The sequence below is a fragment of the Homo sapiens genome, chromosome 6, assembly GCF_000001405.40.
Source record: "Homo sapiens chromosome 6, GRCh38.p14 Primary Assembly".
NCBI lineage: Eukaryota > Metazoa > Chordata > Mammalia > Primates > Hominidae > Homo > Homo sapiens.
In genome coordinates this window covers 41,716,893-41,736,266 of record NC_000006.12, presented here as the reverse complement: position 1 = coordinate 41,736,266, position 19,374 = coordinate 41,716,893, and the positions used below count along the sequence as shown (strand labels likewise).

Here is a 19,374-nt window from a genome sequence, read left to right as displayed (position 1 = left end):
CGGGGAAGAGGAGAAAGTAGAGAATGATGCCTCCGCACCCTGTGAACTTCCAACAAGGGAAGGTGACATGAAAGGAGCTCAGACAATTTCTGTCCAGCAACATGACAGCAAGCTCAGGCTGGTGAGTGGGGCGTGAATGTAGAACCCATAATGGGGGCAGGCTGCCTTCTACTGTCATATTTTACCCTGTACTTCGCCAGGCTCACCCTGGCCTTGCCCCTTATGATCGGGGCAGGGATAAAAGTGCAAGATCCAGGTCCTGCACCCTACTCCTGAAGAGAAGCTGGAATTTGCCACAGGTGGAGTTTCTATGGCAACAGCACACCATCTGGGACCCTCTCTTTCTTAGACTGCCGAAGGACAGCAGGCTGCAGGTTCCTTTTAGGGGGTCGGACAGGCTACAGAATGTATCTTAGTGAGCCCTGGTTTGGGACTTTACTGAGAGGAGAAAGAAAACTTGCAAAGAGGTAGAAGTGGATCAGAGGTTCCAAGTCAAGAGCCTCTTTCCCTGTAAGCCTTAGTCCGCTGAGCGGGACTACAAATCCCGGCGTGCCTAGCGGGACTGCAGCGAGAACTACGCTTCCCAGTGGGCGCCGAGGCAGAGCGGCTGGGAGGCGGGGCGGGTGCTGCCCTCTGCCGGGCGCGGAGGGAAGTGTGCGTGGAGTGACAGCCGGAGCCCGGGCGCCGGGCGCGGGGCTCGGTGACAGCGGAGGCGGCGGCCCGGGCGGGACGCAGGGAGCGGCCGCGGCGCCGACGGCGGCGGGAAGGGCGGACGGGGCGGGCCTCCCTGGTGGCACGGGGCCGGAGCAGGCCGGGAGCAGGTGGCGGGCACAGCTTGCGGGCCAGGCACCCGAACTTGCGACAAGTTGCCGGAGCCGCGGGGCGCGGGCGGCGGACAGATTGACCTTCAGAGCGAGGTGAGCGGGACCGGGGAGCGAGAGGCACGAGGAGGGCCCGGGACCCCCGACCCAGGCTCCCTGGCCCCTATCCCGTGGGTCCCGGAGACAGGTGGGAGGGTGGGGGATGCCGGCAGGAGAGGGAAGCAGGACCGTGCGCGCCGCCACCCACCCGCAGTCCGTCCGCCCCCGGGCGCCCAGCGCGTGGCCCGAGCGGCGCTGCCCGCCGAGCCGGGAGCCCCCTCGGCCCCTCCCTTCAGGCGCGGGCCGGGGGCGGCTTCTCCGCGACCTTATGTAACCGGGCGGGAGGGGCCGGGCGGGCATGGGCCTTCCCGGCCCGGAGCTGGGAGTCGAAGGGGCGGGAGGCGTGATGGTGAACTCGCAAGAAGTTTGAGGGACGCGCGGGCCCCGCGCCCACTCCCCCTCCACCGGACACGGCTGGGGCCGGCGATGCCTGAGAGGGGGTCGGAGGTAGGGGAGGTGTGCGGGGGCTGAGTCTGGCCAGGCCAGCGGGGGGAGTGGGAGGGCCAGAGCGGCGCCACGCCCCGGGGGCTGGGCTGATGGGGGGGCGGGTGGAAGTACCATCTCTCCCTCCCTTCCCGTCCCTTCCTCCAGCTCGGTCTCTTGAAGAAGCCGCCCCTGGCCCCGTCCCCTCGAGTCCCTGGGCAGTCTCTTTCTCCCCGTGGGTTATTCTATGACCCTGGGGAACACCAACCCCGGAGCGCTCCCTCCGTGCGCCCCGTTGTCTGCCTCCCCCCGGGTTCCCAGCTGCCTGCCCGCCCCCCGAGTTTCCCCCTCCCCCCGTCTCGGTCCCGAATCCCGGAAAACACGCCCCCTTCCCCCCGATCCCCCGAGTCCGTGCCGCCCACCCCTGGGCTGTCCCGACCAGCTCTGGCCCAGCGCGTCCGCTCGCCTCCTGGAAGGGAGCGGGCAGATGCCAGCTCGGCCCCCTCCCCGCGCGGGGTTCCGGCTTCACGCACGGCTGCCCCGAGCTGCTCCGGGCTGCGCGAGCAGGTTCGCGCCGCAGCCGCCTGGCGCGCCCCAGCCCCGCGCCCCGGGTGAGGAAGGGAGGGAGCCCGGGGCGGGGCTTGTCTGCGCGAACCCCGCTGGGCCCAGGCCCCCGCCCTCCGCTCTCCGCCAGCCCCTGGCCGCTGCGCCTTCCCCCGAACCCCCCTCAGCTCCAGCCGTCGTTCTCTCGCCTGTCTGTTCTGGGGACGGTTCAGCGCGGAGCTTCTGCACTCAACTTGAGCGCAGTTTTTGGCTTAGAGCTCGCTGGGGAAGTGCAGGTTAATTACTGCCCAGCTCCCATCCTCTGCCCTCCCCCCATCCCGAGTGAGGGGCTGCTTCATCCCTCAGGGAAAGGGACAAGACGGATGCAGGCCCCCAGTGACACCTCTGGGGTGTGGCCTCAGGCCCCTGCACCCGCCCTGGCCGAGATTCCATTGGCCCAGACCTGGCACTGTTGGGCAGCTGGGGATGAGGTTGGAGGCTGGTCTCTGGTTTCCTTCTGGGTGGACAGATGCGGATGCGCTCGGTTAGAACGCAGTTCTTGGTGCCACGACTGGGAGACAGTCCTCAGGCCCTCCCCTCAGGGAGCTCACTGTCCGGGGAGGGACAGCCAGCAATAGTTCCTGGCCGGCCAGGAGAGGCAGAGGCAGAGGAAGGGAAGGGTCAGCTGCCTTGAGGTCCCTGCCTGCTAACCTGACGGTATGCTTTCACCATGCCGGTGACCCCAGCCCCAGGACCACGAGCAACTCGCCTGGCTCCCTTCTCTCCGTCTGCCTCCTGGCCGCGGGGCCCGGAGAGCTGGGAGCCAGAGGGTGTAAATGAAGGGCAGAGCTGTTTGGGTGACTCCATGCTCTGCTTCTCCCCGAGGGAAGCCAATGGTGCTTACCATTTACAAGGCTTGTTACAGCTGCAGGGTTATTTTGTCCTCAACTCAGCTCTGGGAGACGGAGCCAAATGGGGACCCAGGTATCTTGGTTCCGGGTGCCCTGGAAGGAGTTCAGGGGATAGGGCAGGGGACACCCTAGGTGGGCACTGAATCTAGGGAGAGCCAACTGGGCTTTTACGGGCTAATGGCCTGGTGACTCACAGTCAGAGGTGGGCAGGGAGTGGGCCAGGGCAGGCAGGAGCCCTTCCAGGGTCCCACGTGCGCTGTCACAGGCCTCCTCAGCCTGTTTCTGGAAAGCTGAGAAGTAGGTGGAAGGGGACTCCCACCCCTCAAGTCTGGCTGCCCTTTGAGGGTCTAGCTCTTGGCCCTGAGCCCTCCTGGGGCTCTGTTTATGACTGTAATTGCATCATTAGCCAGAGTTAATAGAGTTACTTAGCACCTGCCCCCACAGGGAGTAGCCCAGCCACCCCCTGGGTTCTGTCTCTTCCTTTTCAAAGTCAACTCGGTTTCTGCAGGCAACAGGGGTTTCCCCAACCACAGCTGTCATGAAAACCAGGTTGGGCCTTTGTCCTGGGGATGGAGGGCAGTCAGCACTTGGGGCCTGGCTTGGGGCTGCCCTGGAGATGACCATGGAAATTGGGTTGGCCTCCTCTGATCGGAGGGTGGGAGTTCAGGGTTCCCAGAGCTGCCAGAAATGTTCACGTCCCAGGACGCAGTGAACATATATGCATGTACAGTGTGGATCCTCATCTGAGAGGAGGGAGATGAAAACACACCCACCTCACAGGCTGTTGTGAGGACTAAGGGTGCGGCAGTGCCTGGTACATGGTGAGTACATGATGTTGCTTTCTGGGTTGGTGTGGGGTTTATGTAATGGTTGTGAGTTTGTGTGTGTGGTTAAAGTGTCTAGGAATGTGGGTAGAGATGAACTGTGCATGTGTGTCTATGAGAGTGTAACAATAAAACAAGATTATATTAATAGAATATTCATCTCTTCTTTTATGCTATACTAGAACAATATTATAATAAGATTGATTATACAATAGTTGCCAACATTTATTGTGTGTTTAGAGTGAGGTGGGAATTACTGTTTGCATTACACTTACTTACTCAGAGAGGTTAAGCAAGTCACTTAAAATCACACAGCCTGGAAGTGACAGGATTGGAATTTTAACCTAGGTCCAATTGACTCCAAAGTCTGTGTTCTCAGTCCCTAAAGAAGACCACTTCTTCAAGGGGTTTCCCAGGAGTTCTCTCTTAAAAGGTGGGGGTGTGGTGGTCTGGGGACCTTCTTTTCTCTATCCAGGGTTTCCTGCTCTAAGCAGATCTTTGGGAGGCCTAGGTGGGAGGATCACTGGAGCTCAGGAGTTCGAGACCAGCCTGGGCAACATAGCGAGACCTGGACTCAATTGAAAAAAGAATTTGTATGAAAAAAATAAAAATAAAAAAGCAGGGTGGGAACTTGCTGAGGCCCCTGTCTGAGCACCATACCTGTTTCCTGGCCTTTCTTCTGAGCTGCCAGCATGGGTGACCAAAGGACCTCCGGCTGGAACCTGTCTTGACTGGCCAGGGAAGGAGACTGGTTCAGGCAAGACTTCCTGGGCTTCTTTGGAAGCCCCAGACACCCAGGAAGGGAGGAGGCATCCTTACTGATGGCCTTCTAGGTGCCCGGCTTTGTGCCATGCATTCCACGTCCATTAACGTACAGTGCAGCCCTCAGCAGGCCCTTGTTTAATCAGATGTGCAGAAGAGGCTGTGGGGATCATTGGGTGAGAATGGGACGGCAGTAAAGTCATAAGAGCACTGGACCAGGAGTCGAGAGACCCCACTGTGCCTCTCACTGGCTGTGTGGCTGGGCAGGTCTCTGCTTTGTTCAGCCTCAGTTTCCATATCTGTGAATCTGGATCATCTGTGGGATTCCCTCCAAAGCGAACCTTCTACAAATCTTTGCCAAAGGCACCGGGGAGGAAGAAAAAGGAAGAGAAAGCAAGGGGTGGTGGGGGTGGGTTGTTAGGGGTGTTTGGGAGATGCTGCAGTCCGCAGAATTGAGCTTTAGCTAAAGACTGGTCCTGGTGAAGCAACCAGGAAGTTTTTCTTGGGACAGCCATAGCCACTATATATTGAGCACTGGACCAGTGTCACCTGGTCAGGGGGTTGTTGAGAACGTGGGCTCTGGGGCCAGGCTATGTGGCTTGCACAGCTCTGCCACTTAACACTGTGTGAGCCTCGGCAAGCTGCTTAACCCCACTGTGCCTCAGTTTCCACACCTAAAAAGTGAGGGTTCTTGCAGCACCCACCTACTAGTGCTGTCGTGAGGGCTGAGTATGCCGATATTGATGCACATGTAGTACTTAGAATAGCGCCTAATGAACTGTTATGACTCAGTGAGTTATTTATTTCTCATTCTTAAGTGAGGAAATAGAGGCATGGAGAGCTCTAGGGAAGGAATAAAGACCTATGGGTTGCAAACAGGCCTCTCCATGTGTCTAATGTTCTCTGATGTAATGCTTTACGTGGGGCTTCCCACCACTCTCTGTCCCACCACACCAGCCTCCTCTCCTTGTTGAATAAGACGGTGCAGGGGGCTTGGCAATGCCTGAGGCATCTCTACCACCCCTGCCCTGCCACTTGGGTTTCCCTGGGTAGCATCTGGCCTGGCCACTGACCATGCACTCCTAGCTGTGGCTGTCCCCTGCTCTCCTATCATCTGTCCCTCCTCCACACTGCACCAGAGATACAGATCCCCTTGGCTGTGATGTCATTGGGGACAGAGATAAAATCGCAGTGATAGGGTAGGATCTGGGACTTATCATGCCCACAGGAAATGCTTTGCTGTGAAATGGCAAAGCCGTGGGTGAGAGCCAAGAGGAGCAGAGGCAACAGGCAGGGTCATCACCAGCTTTCCTTCCTGGCTCTTAAGTGTGGGCTTAAGGAGGAAAAATGAGGTCTGGCCACCCATCTTTTGTCCAGCTTTCTTATGGGGAGAGCCACCTGGCCCCATAAGATCCAGCACCTGCTTGCCAGGCCATGCAGGCCACCTGGTTGGCTCTTATGCATTCAGCAGTGGTCCCAGAGTAAGATGCGGTGCTGTAGGGATTAATCCAGGGATTCCACCAGACTCTCCATCCAGAAACCCATGGCTCATATTCCCTCCTCGTAGCCCTTCCTCACTCCTTCCCTATAAGCAAATCTTTCCCTCCATCAGGGCACACATTTCAGAGAGACCGGGGCACTGTTCCATCTTACTGCAGCCTGGCTGGGTATTATGATCACCTGCGGAACTCTTAGACAACACCATTGCATCTGAATCTCTTGGGGAGGGGCCTAGGCATCTTTATTTAATTTTTTTTTTTTCTGGGATGATTCCAATGCCCTTTCTCTAGGGCAGTGGTTCTCAAATTTGGGCATGCATGAGAACTCCCTGGAGGAATTGTTTAAACACAGATGCTGGGCCCCTCCCGGTGTTTCTGCAAATTCCATGTGGTCTAGAATTTGAATTTCTGACAAGTCCTCTAGTGATGCTAATGCTGCTGGTCCCCAGAGCACACCTGGAAAACCACTGCCTTCGGGTCCTGCCGCTTTGCAGCTACCCAGGTGAGAGCCGTCCTTCTCCTGGGTTCTGTGTCTCTGACTTTGGGCCTGGTAGGCCTGTCCCCTTTTGAAGGCAGGTCGCCAGGGGCATGGACCACTTCTGAGAAAATTTGGTGTCCCCTCTACAGTCAGTCCTTCCCATTTCTCCACCTGTCCCCACCTCCCCTGAAACTATCCACTGTTCGGCCTTGCAGCTCTTGGTCCCACTCTCTGGGACAAGTGCTTAAAACTGTGCACTGGTTGATGAAGGCAGGATGAGGCGGACAAACAAGGATGGCACTAGCTGAGGGGCCTCAGAACATGCGTCAGGGTCTGAAGCTGCTGTGAAGGTGCTTGGAGCTAAAGTAGCATTATTGCAATAATTGGGGAGGTGTTCAGAGAGGACCCTCACTTTGTTGAAGGGAGGCTCTTAAAATACTTCCTGTTATTTCACTTTCCCACCCTATGGAGGGCAAGTATTTGATTCCAGCTTGAATCGTAGTTGTTGTTAACAATAAAAATGATACAGACACACACAGAAATAAGCTGTTCCCTTTTCCTTTCCTCTCCCAGACCAGAGATGTAGGGAGGGTAGGGGGAGGGTCCCTGCTGGAGGTAGTGGAGTCTCTGTCATCTTCTAGGTGGTCCTGGGCCTTGAGAGAGTGGATGGTTGGGAGAGCCTGGGGGCTGGCCCCTGGGGGCAGGGGTGTGGAGTTGTTTGTGGAAACTGGAGGGAGTTGGGGTGAAGCCTGGTAGGAGGTGAGAAGAGGTGGCAGGTCCCACAGCCCTGCTGCAGGGGAGGCGAGGCGGGGCCGGGAGTGGGGGCGAGATTGGTGTCTGAGCCCGCCAGTCCTCAGGTGACTGGGCACAGGGGTTTGCTGTGTTTTGGTCCGTGCCGTACCCCTAGCACCTAGAAGAGAGCCTCATATATAGTGGCTGCTCAATAAATCTTTGTGGAATGGATGAGAGAATGGGATTGAGCCCCCATTGTGTGCCCAGAAATGCAGACACCAAAAAAATGCTCTGTCTACCGTCTCTACCCTGCAGGTGCTTCACCAGCTGACACCCAGGGGCCTCGCCCACAGGTCCACAAGGCGCTGAGCCCTCTGCCTCTGCCCTGTCTCCCTCCCCGCACAGTGATCCAGGCCCAGCCTCCTCCTGGTGTAGGGCTCACAGTCTGTTCCTCCCCACAGAGAGTCTGCCAGCACCTCCCCCAACCCCCCCTCCCCGAGTTCTACCAGTGGGTCTGTGGGGTGGGGCTCCGGTTTGTTTTCTCCTGTTTGCCAAGGGAAGTCACAGCCTGTCCTTTGCCTTGTTTATAATTGCTTTGAGGACAGCACCTGCCGCGGCCCCCCACAGTCCCTGAGGGGTGCAGAGTGGCCAGGAGGTGACACACTATACTGTCCACCCCCTGCCGCCTCTTGTCCCCTCCCAGCTCTAGCCAGGTGCACTTTCTGCTGCCTTGCCAGGACGGTGCTGGCTGGCCTTGCTTTGGGGCTAATTGGAACCGTAGAGCTGGGGGTGTCAGAGGGCAGCTGGCGCTGCCCCCATGTTGTCAAGAGGAGGGGATCGAGGCCCAGGGATTCAGCAGCACAAGGCCTTCAGTGTCAACAGGCATGTACTGAGCACATCAGAGGTACCTGGCACTGGGCTGGCCAAGCAGGGCGGGTGGGAACAAGATCACAGCTTCTCCCGCAAGGTGCCGATGTCCTAGCCAGGGAATCTTAGTAACCACAGAGGGCAGAGAGGAGCAGAATGCGAGAAGCTAGTGTAGACTAATGTACTAAACAACATAAGCGCGGTGATACCTGCCCTTTGCCCTGAAGAGCATTCTCCTTGGGCCTCTTGCTGGCACAGAGACCTTGACTCAGCGTGGTTTAGGCCCTCAGCCCTTTCCACCTTCTGGGCCCCAGGAAGGGCTACTCTACTGCTCCCTGGGCCTTCTCACCTGGGGGTCACCTCTGCAGGCTACGTTCTGGACAAGTCCTTCCTTCCAGGAGGACTAGAGGCTGCTGGAGCCTTTGAAAGGAGGCTCTGAGCCACCCACCTGCCACTTGGAAGCTCTGGGGCCAAGGGGAGATGTGGTGCTGGATCAGGGCCGACAGCTCAGGCCTCCTTGGACCTGCCTGTGACTGAGCCTCCATGCTTGGGCCTGGAACCTGGGGGCAGTGCCTCTGTTCCTCCCACCTCCAGAACCTTCTTTTTTGTTTGTTTGCAGACAGGGTCTCTCTGTGTTGCCCAGGCTGGAGTGCAGTGGCACAATCATGGCTCACTATAGCCTCAACCTTCTGGGCTCAAGCAATCCTCTTACCTTAGCTTCCCAAGTAGCTGGGACCAGAGGCACGTGCCACTACACCTGGCTAATTTTTAAAATTTTCTGTAGAGATGGGATCTCACCATGTTGCCCAGGCTGGTCTCAAACTCCTGGGCTCAAGTGATCCAGCCGCCTCGGCCTCCCAAAGTGTTAAGATTACAGGCGTGAGCCACCTTGCCTGGCCACAAGCCTTTTTTCTCCCCTCCACCCTCCGCCACCCTCTGAGCCTCCATCTAGTTCCACAGCATCTGCAGCCTTGGACTATCTCTCTCTCTCCTGCTCTTTGTCTCCCCTTCTCTCCTTCCTCTTTATTTCCTTCTCTGCCACCTTCCTTCTTTTGATGTGTTCAAAGGATGACCAGGGCCCACCCCACCAGTACCTTTCTCACAGTCAGCCTCCAAGTCCTGCTGTCAGGGGCCCAGAGGAATGGTCCACGGTAGGGTGAGGTGGCTGCGAAGGTGCCCAGCCTGACGCAACCCCCTACCCATGGCCAGGAAGGGGTGTGTGGTGGCTGGGACATCCTGGGCGGGGTGGCGGGTGAAAGAGGCTATGGTAGTCGGCTCCTGTGGGTTGAGGGGCAGCCAGCAGCCTGGGCCAACTGGGGGAAGGGACCCTCCCTAGACAGCCCCAAGCATTATCACTACTCCAGACCTGTGCCTAACTATAGGTTGTCATCCACTTCTTTGGATCTAATTATAGTGTTTTGCGAAACTAGGTATGGGAAGAAAATACTGTATCTATTTACTTATATCTCATTCTTTTCTTTCTTTTAAAATTGTGAAATATAGCATAGTTGCTTAAAAAGCATAAACATACACATATAATGTAGTAAATAATTATAAAAGTGAACCCCTGGCTGGGTGCGGTGGCTCACGCCTGTAATCCCAGCACTTTGTGAGGCTAAGGCAGGCAGATCACGAGGTCAGGGGTTTGAGACCAGCCTGGCCAACATGGTGAAACCCCATCTCTACTAAAAATACAAAAATTATCCAGGTGTTGTGGCACGCACCTGTAATTCCAGCTTGGGAGGCTAAGGCAGGAGAATCGCTTGAACCTGGGAGGTGGAGGTTGCAGTGAGCCAAGATCGTATCAATGCACTCCAGCCTGGGTGACAGAGCAAGACTCCATCTAAAGAAAAAAAAAAGTGAACCCCTAGGCAACCATCACCCAGGTGAATAAACAACAGAATGTAGCTTGTACGCCAAAATCAACTCATGTGCCCTCCACCCCCAGAGGTAATCACTATCCTGACTGTACGATAATCAGCTCCTTGCCTCTTTTATTATGTAACCACCTATGTCTGCATCCCTTAGCTGAGTTTAGTTTTGCCTGACTCTGAATTTAATACAGATGGAATGGCGCTGGACATGTTCTTTTACGTCAGGCTTTTCCCACCCAACAGTGTATTTGTGAGAGTCACTTATGTTGTGTATAGCCGTAGTCTGTTAATTTTCTTTCTTTTCTTTTTATTATTTATTTATTTTTGAGATGGAGTCTGCTCTGTTGCCCAGGCTGGAGTGCAGTGGCGCGATCTCAGCTCACTGCAACCTCCACCTCCCCAGCTCAAGCGATTCTCCTACCTCGGCCTCCCAAAGTGCCAGGATTGCAGGCGTGAGCCGCCGGGCCTGGCCTTTAATGTATATTTCAACTTCAGTAAATATTTTATTAAGTGGTTGTACTACTTTACTCCTTGCTAGTGGCCCACAGAGTTCCTGTTGCTCCTTAGCCTTATCAACACTTGGTCTTGTTAGTTTAATTTCTGCCATGATGGTGAGTGTGTAACATGTCTCATCCTGGTGTATTGCATTTTCATTCTCATTTTAAAAATATATAATTTTGGGGTATGTTTGCTGACATCTATAATATATTCATGCATCGGGGTATATATAAGCAATTTACAAGGAAAGAAGCATATATTGAGAGTGCTCAAAAGTTTTTACTGATAGGAATATATGATCAAAACGGTTGAAAGATCAGGGTAATATTGAATGCCAGGAAGGGGGTTGGCATGTAGCTTGGGAGTTGGAAGGTGATATTGGTCTTGTGGGGAGACCCCCTAAGTGGCAGTGCCTGCTGGGGCTAAGAAGCCTCTTCCCAGAGGGTACTGAACCACAGAGTACCCATCACCCTTCAGGCCCTCTTGCCTAGCACATCTGGTGGGGGAGAGGGGGAGACTCTCAGGCTAGAGCCCTCAGCAGGTGTACCGTTCAATTTGGAATTGGCAGGTGCCCATCTTTTAGGTGCTTCTAGGGCAGTAGTTCTCCACTAGGGGTGATTTTGTCCCCCTAGGGGACATTTGCCAATGTCTGATGATATTGGCCAGGGATACCACTAAACATCTTAAAATGCACAGGACAGCCCCTGTAACTAATTACCTGGCCCTGAGTGTCTGGTGTTGAGGTTGAGAAACTCTGATCTAGGAAAAGAGCCAGGAAACAGATTTGCCATAAACTTGCTGCATGGCCTCGAGGAAGTCACTTAAGTGATTTGAGCCTCAGCCTCCTTGGAATCTGAAAAACGGATAGCAAGCGTTGCTGCCCTTCCCCTTCATGGGGCTCTTGTCAGGATGGGGGAGATGGTGAATGTGCAGGCATTTTGGGGGAGGCGTCCCTGCAAAGGGGCCTTGTGGCTGTTGCGTTCCAGTAGAGCCAGGCCTTTTCAGCACTGGCCCTTCTTCCTTGACTGTGTTCCCTGTCCACCAAGCTGGAGGCATCAGGTGACCGCTGTGAACCTCAGTCCTGGTTCGTGCTGCTGCAGGGGCTGTGAGGCGCTTCCCCCACAGTCCCTGCGGGCCCCAGCCTTTTGATGAGGGCTGCAGAAATGAGGGGTTCTCTGGGAGCCTTGGGGCCCAGGACAAAAACATTTCCAACTTTGTCCTTAGCTGGATGGGAGTCCAAGGTTGTGGGGGTGATAAGAGGTATTTATCATGTTCCTTATCTGAGGCCCCATTGCAGGTCTCGGGCGGCAAGGGGCGGGAGCCAGAGGTCCTCCCTGGGGGCTCTGCACACCCAGGCCTGGCTCCTACTCATCCTTTGTGTCCTTCCAGAATTTGCCAGCCCAGGGAGGCCCAGGGTTGGACCAGAGTCTGGGTCCATCCTCCCTGGGCCTCTCTGGCCTCACTGTTCTGGGCTTCCCTCACATTGCTGGCATCTCCTGCCTTCTCCAGGAGCCACGGCCTGCCTCATCTCCTCTCTGCTGCCCGCTTCCTTCCTGAAACCTGCACTCACGAAAGGGCCCAGTAAACTCATCCACCCTGAGACGCAGACGACCGATAATAGCTTAACCTTTCTTAATACAGGGTATTTGCTTATCAACGATGGGAATCCCTTGGCCACCAGAAAGAAGCACTAAGTGAAATCTCTGCCCAGTCTCTTTGGCAGGCTGCTAAAAAAGTGCTGGGGGGCTGAGGAACCACTGAACTTGCATGTGTATCAAGAACAGTTTCTGCACAAGTGAAAAGTGTGCGGTGGTGTGGATCTTCCCGGAGCTGCCCAGGGCTCTGCTTGATCTCAGGCTCCATTTCAAGGTGGGCTGTAGTACGGCCTCGACCTGGGTGTCTGGAGGCCCTGGGAAGGCCCAAGGCCAAGACTGCAGGTGTATGGCCAGTCAGGAAGATGGTGAGCTGTGGGGCTTCTGGCTAGAAGGACACATGTCTCTAGGAAGCGGGGCTGGGGTTAGGGTTAGGCCCACCCTGGACCTGGTGGGATTGGGACTCTGGCGAAATTCTTGCTGCTCTGTGTCTCTCCATCTGCCTAGGGCCCTCTGAGGTCAGGCTGGGGTCAGGGCGGCCATGAGAGGCCTCCTGTGGGAGGACCAAGGAGCGCTGTGGGCGCCTGGAGCCGGGCGGGTGAGATTGAAGCAGTCTGTGTTGGGTAGGCTGCGGTGTGGGACTGTGCCGTCGGGGCGCAGTTCCCTCTGTGCTGTGAGTAATCCTCGGCCGCATTTGCAGCTCCCAGGGGATTGTGCAACTTCCTCTCCAGCTGAGGTGCAGGGGGCTGGGTGAGAAACAGCAGCCGCCGGGGAAATGAGGAAACTGAGCCCGGCCCTGGGGCTGGGGTGCGGCCCTGGGCTCCGGCCCCTGGAGGAGCTGAGCATTCCAGGGGCCTCCTTCCAGGGGGCTGCCCTCTCGAAGGTATGAGAGCACACGCGTGCATGTGTGTGAGTGTGTGCATGTGTGTGAGCATGTGTGTGAATGTGTGTCCATGTGTGTTAGCCTGTGTGCATCTGTGTGAGTGTATGTGCATGCGTGTGGTGTCTTTGGGGAGGTGGGTGGGTAGGGATGAGGCCCCTCAGGCTGCACTGGCATTGGGATGTCTTTGGGGAGGGGTGGGGGTCTCTGAGCATGGCCAAGGCTGGGGTGAGGGAAAGAATGGGGAAGAAGGTGGCCAAGCTCTGGAGTGCAGGTTGGACAGCGTGGGAAATCAGGAGTCAGCCAGAGTTGTGCTTCAGTTTCCTCATCTCTCCAGGCTTATTTCAAGGGTCGAGTGAGAAGGTCATGGGCAGGATGGGCTTAGCATGTCACTGGCCAGGCCACAGTGAATACCCATTTACATTAGGGGCTGGGAGCATATGCTCTACATCCACCTGCTTGAATCCTGGCCCTGTCGTTTTGCAGTTTCATGATGCTGGCAAGTTATCCTCCTCTGCTTCCTCATCTGTAACATGGAGATGACAGTTATAGTGCCCACCTTGTGAGTTCTGAAGAGTAAAAGACTTTACTCACATAAAGTGCTCAGAATAGAGCCAGCCTCCCACTAAGTGCCTGCACAGGTTAACACTTCACCAGGACATAGCATGTTTGTGTGCAGATGGCAAAAAACTGCCCAGGGCTCCTGACGATCATTTTTGATGGTGGAAGTTTGAGCTGGAACTGAGATTGATAGTAAGAGCTCATGTTTACCTGGCCTTATTCCATGTCAGGTACTGTGCCCAGTGATTCATCTGTACCAGCCCCTTCACCCTCAGTCACCCCATGAGGGGGATGCTGCTATCATTCCCATTTTGCAGATGGGGACATGTAGGCCCAGGGGCTAGAGTGACTTGCTCCAGGGCAGCTATATCAGTGAGGGAGAATGGCAGAATGGTCCACTCAGCCCACAGGTGGGCCCCTCACCCACACCCCTGCCCCTTTTCTGGGTTCCAATAGAAGTATGGGAGAGGAGGAGGATGGAGGGTCTGCTGGGAGGGGTGTGAGGGCTGGCCTTGCAGCCTGTGGGCTCTGGCCAGGGAGCCCTTTCTTTTCTCTGTGCCATCCCCAATTAAGTAATCAAAGTAACCCACAGCTATAAAGAGTTAAATTAATATAGCGAATGGAGCCAGGTGCGGTGGCTCACGCCTGTAATCCCAGCACTTTGGGAGGCCGAGGTGGGCGGGTCCCCTGAGGTCAGGAGTTTGAGACCAGCCTGGCCAACATGGTGAAACCCCGTCCCTACTAAAATACAAAAAATTAGCTGGGCATGGTGGCATGTGCCTGTAATCCCAGCTACTTGGGTGGCTGAAGCAGGAGAATCGCTTGAACCCAGGAGGCGAAGGGGTTCAATGAGCCTACATTGCACCACTGCACTCCAGCCTGAACGACGGAGGGAGACTCTGCCTTAATAATAATAATAATAATATAAGGAATGGTTTATTAGTAGTTGGAGTTGGAAGAGACTTCCTAGGAGAGTGAGCTCCCTGCCAGGGTGTAGTCTTGAGAGAGCAGTTGAAGGCCACTCATCTGTGGGCATGAGGGTGCAGTGGTTCTGAATCTGGCTTCAGATTCACACAGGCCTGGTTTTCAGCTCTGTCTGAGCCAGTTACTGTTTGGCCTCAGGCCTCAGTTTCACCACATTTAAAATGGGGGTGATAGCAGTTCCTATCTCCTAGGGTGATGGTGAGGATGAAATAAGACACCATAGTAAAATGCTTAGCACAGGTCTGGCCTGGAGTAAGTGTCTGACAGATGGATGCCATTATTAGGCGCCTGTTGTAGAGAGGGCCACGCGCCAGGCAGATAGTTGGGCTGCACAGATACTTTTGGAGGGAGGTTTTTCAAATTGTGGATCAGGGCCACTAATTGGACCCTAATTCAGCCATGAAATCAGTTTGGTGGGTCTCCATGAATTTTTTTTTAATGAAAAAGAAGAGACTAGAAAATATTCAAGTGTATTGCTCAGTATCAGTAAGCATTGTTGTGTAGAACATGTTTCGTGTGTGTGTGTGTGTGTGTGTGTGTGTGTGTATGTGTGCCTAGTGTCAAATAAAGTATATTTTTCTGTGAGCCATGGTCCAAAACTTTGGTGCCACTGCATTAGAGATTCTGTCCCTCCTGTGCCATGTTTATAGAGCACCTACTGAATATAAGGCGCAGCAGCAGTGCTATGGCCAGGGTGCCTGTCCTCAGCAAACCTCATGGTCTGACTGGAGAATCAGGGCCCAGTTCTTAGCAAGGTGGTTACCAAGACTGTGGGTCAGCAGAGGAGGGAGCAGAGTGGTCAGAGAGGGATTCCTGGGTGATGACCCTGTGTCAGGTGGGGACGATGAGAGGGGGTGATGCCTGGGGTGAATGGTTGGCCTGGGTCCTGGGGGCTGGGGCTGGGGGCTGGAGAGCTACCTGGAAAGGTGGGAGGCTGCCGTCAGTGGAAGGCTGCAGGGTCAGGCCTGGCAGGAGCTGCCCATGCTTGCTGGAGCAGGGGGTTGGGTGGAGGTTGGGGTCTCAGGATTATTCAAGAACATTACATTTATTGTGTACTTTATTTCTATGATTATTACATTGTAATATATGATGGAATAATTATATATGGGTGAGGGCTGTGCCAGTCTCCCTGGCTGGGGTGGGGTGGGGTAGAGAAGGACTCGGCCTTACTGATGCCCCCTCCCCCAGCTTGCAGGATCTGTAGTCACTATGGGTGAGACCCACGTGGGCCTGGCCTGCAACCTGGCTCTCAGCTTGAGCCCTATCCAGAAGCCAGAAGACTTCCCACTATTTAGATCCCTGCCCTGGGAAGTGCTTGGCCTAGTCAGGACCTCAGTTTCTCCATCTGTAAAGGAGGCACACTGTCTCCTGAGCGGCCAGCCTCCTGGGTGGTGATGCCCATCTTGTGACCTATTGTGGATGAACCGGCTGCAGGAAGTATGAAGAGCTCTGGGTGGGTTATGATTGTCGTCTTTAAGGCTGGGAGGACTGGGGAAGGTCATGAGGACATCAGCTGCCTGTCTGGAGAGCCCCTGGCCTCCCTACCCTGTGACCTAGGGCAGTGGGAGGAGAAGCCTGTGACCCATGGCAGGCTGGGGATATCCCCAGCTTTGAGTGCAGGCAGCCCAGTAGGGGCCTCAGATGATGAGACCCAGATCTGGCCTAAATCTGGGAACCCCCAACCTCTAAAGCTCCACTCTTCATTGAGTACCCCAGGAGTCCCAGCTTAAGGGGCTGTGGTGGCAGGTGGAGAGGCAGTAACCTAGGACTGATTGGCAGGGGCCAGTTTTCAGGAGGCTGTGGGTGGCTTCCAACCCACTGAGCACAGAGCCCAGAGGCTCAGGCATGAGCTCCCACAGTAGAATGTGGTGTTTAATGACAGGTCACATATATTGGCACTCCTGTGTGCCAGCGCTGTGCTAAGCACTTTTATATATTTGCAAACTTTATACAACAACCGAATGCAGGTCTTTTTATTATCCCATTTTACAGGGATAATAAAATGGGCCTCAGGAAGCTGAGGCCCAGAGAGGTTAAATCTCTCACCCAAGGTTACCTAGCTAGTAAATGGGAGAGCTGGCCTGAGGGCCTGAGTTCTGGATTCGGGATACTAGAGTTCAAATCTGGGTAGTGCCACTTTCTAGCTGTGGGTCCTCAAACAGTGACTGAATCTCTCTGACCATTGGTTTCTTCCTCTGTGCCTTCCTCAAAGGGTTGTTGTGAGAGCTATGTGAGATAAAGACTGAGAAGTACATAGTACACAATAAGGGCCGAATAAATGGGACCTGCCACATGACCTGCATGCCAGTAACTGCCGTGTGACCCTGGGCCGGGTGTCTGGCCTCCTAGGTCTCAGTCTCCTCAGTTGTGTGACACAGGGCACTGACCCCTTCCTTGCTCCTCTCAATAGGGTTGTTGAAGATGTTGGATGGGTCCTGAAGGAGACCTTCAGTGAAATAGAAGTGGTAGACCAGCGGTCCCCAACCTTTTTGGCACCAGGGACTGGTTTCGTGGAAGACAGTTTTTCCATGGATGGATGGCAGGGGAGGGTTTCAGGATCATTCAAGAGCATTACATTTATTGTGCACTTTATTTCTATTATTATTACATTGTAATATATGATGAAATAATTATACAACTCACCATAATGTACAATTGGTGGGAGCCCTGAGCTTGTTTTCCTGCCACTAGACGGTCCCATCTGGGGGTGATGGGAGACAGTGACAGGTCATCAGGCATTAGATTCTCCTAAGGAGCATGCAACCTAGATCCCTCACATGCACAATGCACAATAGGGTTTGCACTCCTATAAGAATCCAGTGCCACTGCTGATCTGACAGGAGGTGGAGCTCAGGTGGTAATGTGAGCAATGGGGAGTGGCTGCAAATATAGATGAAGCTTCGCTCACCTGCCTGCCTGCCCACCACTCACCTCCTGCTGTGTGGTCTGGTTCCTAACCGGCCATGGATTAGTATGGGTCTGTGGCCTGGGGACTGGGGACCCCTGTGCTAGACTACTTGAATCTCCAGAGCTGTCAGGAATTCTTTAGGGTTTGCAGCCAACCGCAGGTCCCAACGGATTGTGTTTGGGCCTGCTTCAGGCTTTCATGTTTCCTGTTGGCCCCTGCAGGCATTTGAGTTGGTGGCTCCAAATCTATTCCAGGGTTTCCCAAGATGTTTTCTGTGGAAAGGTTTAGAGGTCAAGCAGGCACAGGAGACTGTAAGTCAAAGAAAAAAAAAAAAAGAAAAATAGGGGTTGGGGGAATGGGGAGATGATAGTCAAAGGGTACAAAACCTCAAACAGGGGGCATAAGTTTTTTCCTTGAGATGTATTGTACGGCATGGTGAATATAGTAAATAGTAATTATTGTATATTTCAAAATCATTTAAGAGTTAATTTTAAATGTTCTAGGCTGGGTGTGGTGGCTCATGCTTGTAATACCAACACTTTGGGAGACTGAGGCGGGAGACTTCAGCCTAGGAGTTCAAGACCAGCCTGGGCAACATGGTGAAACCTGTTACTACAAACAAAAAAATACAAAAATTATCCGGGTGTGATGATGCATGCCTGTAGTCCCAGCTATGGGAGAGGCTGAGGTGGGACGATCAATTGAGCCTGGGAGGTTGAGGCTGCAGTGCGCTGTGATCATTCCACTGCACTCTAGCCTGGGTGACAGAGCGAGACCCTGTCTCCAAAAACAAACAAACAAACAAAATAAAACAACAAAAAAAAACACCCCCAAAATTCAAATGTTCTTACCACCCAAAATGACAAGTATTTGAGGTGATGTATATGTTAATTAACTTGATTTAATTATTCCACATGGTGCTCATAAATCATAGCATCACCTTGTACTCCATAAATATATACAACTACACAAAACCCCAAATGGTTTTCTTTGCTGTAGGGCTTGTCAGAGCCTGTGATATGCTAATTTTTGTTGTACATCTCCAATATGTGGTCATGATATATACTCTAGGGTATCTCAAAGGCCTGGTGTTTAAAGCCCCATTTTCCAGATAGAGAAACTAAGACCTGGAATGAAACTTAGGAAGGGATTTTCCCAGGTTATGCAGTTACCTGTTACAGAGCTAGGGCCAGACTCCTTGCTCCTGACTCCATGGCCAGTGCTCTGCCCAGGATACCTCTTCCTCTTCCTTCTTCCTTTGTCCTCAGAGAAGTGTTGTGTGTGCTGCTGTTTCCTCCTGAGAGCTCCTTACCTTTTTCTGGCCCCCTCCTGCTTGCTCCCAGCATTAGAGGGTGTCTGTTTCCTTCTGGGCATTGCTATGAGATGGAGCTATGCCTAGTTTATGGCTGCTGGGAGATCCTTCTCAGACTAATAGATGGCAATAAGGCTTCATCCCAGCTGCAGGGCCCCTAGCAAGTTAATTCCATTTCCTGAGCCTCATTCTCCTCAGTTGTGTAATGAAACTCATCATCTTGTCTGTCTTCTGGAGTTTTTGAGAAGTTCAGCTCTGATATCATACATGAACGTGCTCTACTAATTTTCAATCCATATGCAGATATCCATGAGTCTGACAGTTCTTATAATTTCTGGGGGCAGTGAGGACATGGGAAAAGGAGGCCCTGGCTGTGGGAGCTAGCATGGTTGGGGCCCTAAAGTTCTGATCCCCTCCCCCGGCCACAGTTGATGTCTGCTTTTCAGTGTACTGCTGCCTCTCTCTGCTCTCAGTTCCCCTGAACATGTCTGAAGTGGGCCGGTCTAGCTGACTCGAGGGACCCATGTCACAGGTGAGACATGAAATGAAGCACGATTTTCGAGCTGGGGGGCCCTATTTTCCTAGTTTCCTGCTGGGAGTTGGTGTTAGAGTGGGGAAACAACTCAAGTGACTTGGTGCCTCAGTACAGCTCTGCCTGGAGCAGGGAGTTCCCACCAGCTTCTGCCCAGTCCTTTGATGCCCCCACCCTTCATGGAGGGTGGCCGGTCACCTGGCTTGTGATGTAGGGTGCACGCGGGCATGCCGATGCCTCCATCAACACAGCAGTTAGGTTCGAAATGCTCCAG

The 19,374-nt window shown here is 54.1% G+C and overlaps 1 protein-coding gene and 1 non-coding gene across 8 annotated transcripts in view, besides 11 other annotated features; both read left to right on the top strand.

Annotated features, from left to right (window-relative positions):
• Positions 1-43: 43 nt before the first annotated feature.
• The window catches only part of TFEB (transcription factor EB), a 52,246-nt gene continuing 32,915 nt past the window's right edge, over positions 44-19,374 (top strand). For 2 of the 7 annotated variants that reach the window (NM_001271943.2, NM_001271944.2), the window contains exon 1: positions 659-917. Coding sequence is in view for 1 of the 7 variants with exons in the window: in NM_001167827.3 (NP_001161299.2) it covers positions 102-121 (20 nt within the window). In the remaining 6 variants the exon portion in view is untranslated. Of the gene's footprint in view, positions 122-658; positions 918-1,206; positions 1,368-1,865; positions 1,955-2,413; positions 2,604-3,499; positions 3,619-19,374 lie in introns of those variants that run through there. The other 5 variants (NM_007162.3, NM_001167827.3, NM_001271945.2 and 2 more) reach the window with 5 other exon arrangements.
• Positions 501-970: a silencer, noted in NCBI's record as "silent region_17190". NCBI's record gives its function as "represses an Ori minimal core promoter by ATAC-STARR-seq in GM12878 lymphoblastoid cells {active_cell/tissue: GM12878}" and the evidence as "EXISTENCE:reporter gene assay evidence [ECO:0000049][PMID:35858748]".
• Positions 1,011-1,540: a silencer, noted in NCBI's record as "silent region_17189". NCBI's record gives its function as "represses an Ori minimal core promoter by ATAC-STARR-seq in GM12878 lymphoblastoid cells {active_cell/tissue: GM12878}" and the evidence as "EXISTENCE:reporter gene assay evidence [ECO:0000049][PMID:35858748]".
• Positions 1,671-2,110: a silencer, noted in NCBI's record as "silent region_17188". NCBI's record gives its function as "represses an Ori minimal core promoter by ATAC-STARR-seq in GM12878 lymphoblastoid cells {active_cell/tissue: GM12878}" and the evidence as "EXISTENCE:reporter gene assay evidence [ECO:0000049][PMID:35858748]".
• On the top strand, positions 2,657-2,713 carry MIR10398 (microRNA 10398). The gene has a single exon (NR_162107.1). It is a non-coding gene; the product is annotated as a microRNA 10398 (primary transcript).
• Positions 2,761-2,870: an enhancer, noted in NCBI's record as "active region_24527". NCBI's record gives its function as "activates an Ori minimal core promoter by ATAC-STARR-seq in GM12878 lymphoblastoid cells {active_cell/tissue: GM12878}" and the evidence as "EXISTENCE:reporter gene assay evidence [ECO:0000049][PMID:35858748]".
• Positions 2,761-3,463: a biological region, named in NCBI's record as "H3K4me1 hESC enhancer GRCh37_chr6:41700542-41701238".
• Positions 2,767-3,463: an enhancer, noted in NCBI's record as "H3K4me1 hESC enhancer chr6:41700542-41701238 (GRCh37/hg19 assembly coordinates)". NCBI's record gives its function as "activates a minimal SCP1, AML or CMV promoter by ChIP-STARR-seq in primed H9 embryonic stem cells {active_cell/tissue: H9 hESC(primed)}" and the evidence as "EXISTENCE:reporter gene assay evidence [ECO:0000049][PMID:30033119]".
• Positions 3,361-3,410: an enhancer, noted in NCBI's record as "active region_24526". NCBI's record gives its function as "activates an Ori minimal core promoter by ATAC-STARR-seq in GM12878 lymphoblastoid cells {active_cell/tissue: GM12878}" and the evidence as "EXISTENCE:reporter gene assay evidence [ECO:0000049][PMID:35858748]".
• Positions 3,481-3,560: an enhancer, noted in NCBI's record as "active region_24525". NCBI's record gives its function as "activates an Ori minimal core promoter by ATAC-STARR-seq in GM12878 lymphoblastoid cells {active_cell/tissue: GM12878}" and the evidence as "EXISTENCE:reporter gene assay evidence [ECO:0000049][PMID:35858748]".
• Positions 11,820-11,959: an enhancer, noted in NCBI's record as "active region_24524". NCBI's record gives its function as "activates an Ori minimal core promoter by ATAC-STARR-seq in GM12878 lymphoblastoid cells {active_cell/tissue: GM12878}" and the evidence as "EXISTENCE:reporter gene assay evidence [ECO:0000049][PMID:35858748]".
• Positions 12,290-12,379: an enhancer, noted in NCBI's record as "active region_24523". NCBI's record gives its function as "activates an Ori minimal core promoter by ATAC-STARR-seq in GM12878 lymphoblastoid cells {active_cell/tissue: GM12878}" and the evidence as "EXISTENCE:reporter gene assay evidence [ECO:0000049][PMID:35858748]".
• Positions 12,621-13,163: an enhancer, noted in NCBI's record as "H3K27ac-H3K4me1 hESC enhancer chr6:41690842-41691384 (GRCh37/hg19 assembly coordinates)". NCBI's record gives its function as "activates a minimal SCP1, AML or CMV promoter by ChIP-STARR-seq in primed H9 embryonic stem cells {active_cell/tissue: H9 hESC(primed)}" and the evidence as "EXISTENCE:reporter gene assay evidence [ECO:0000049][PMID:30033119]".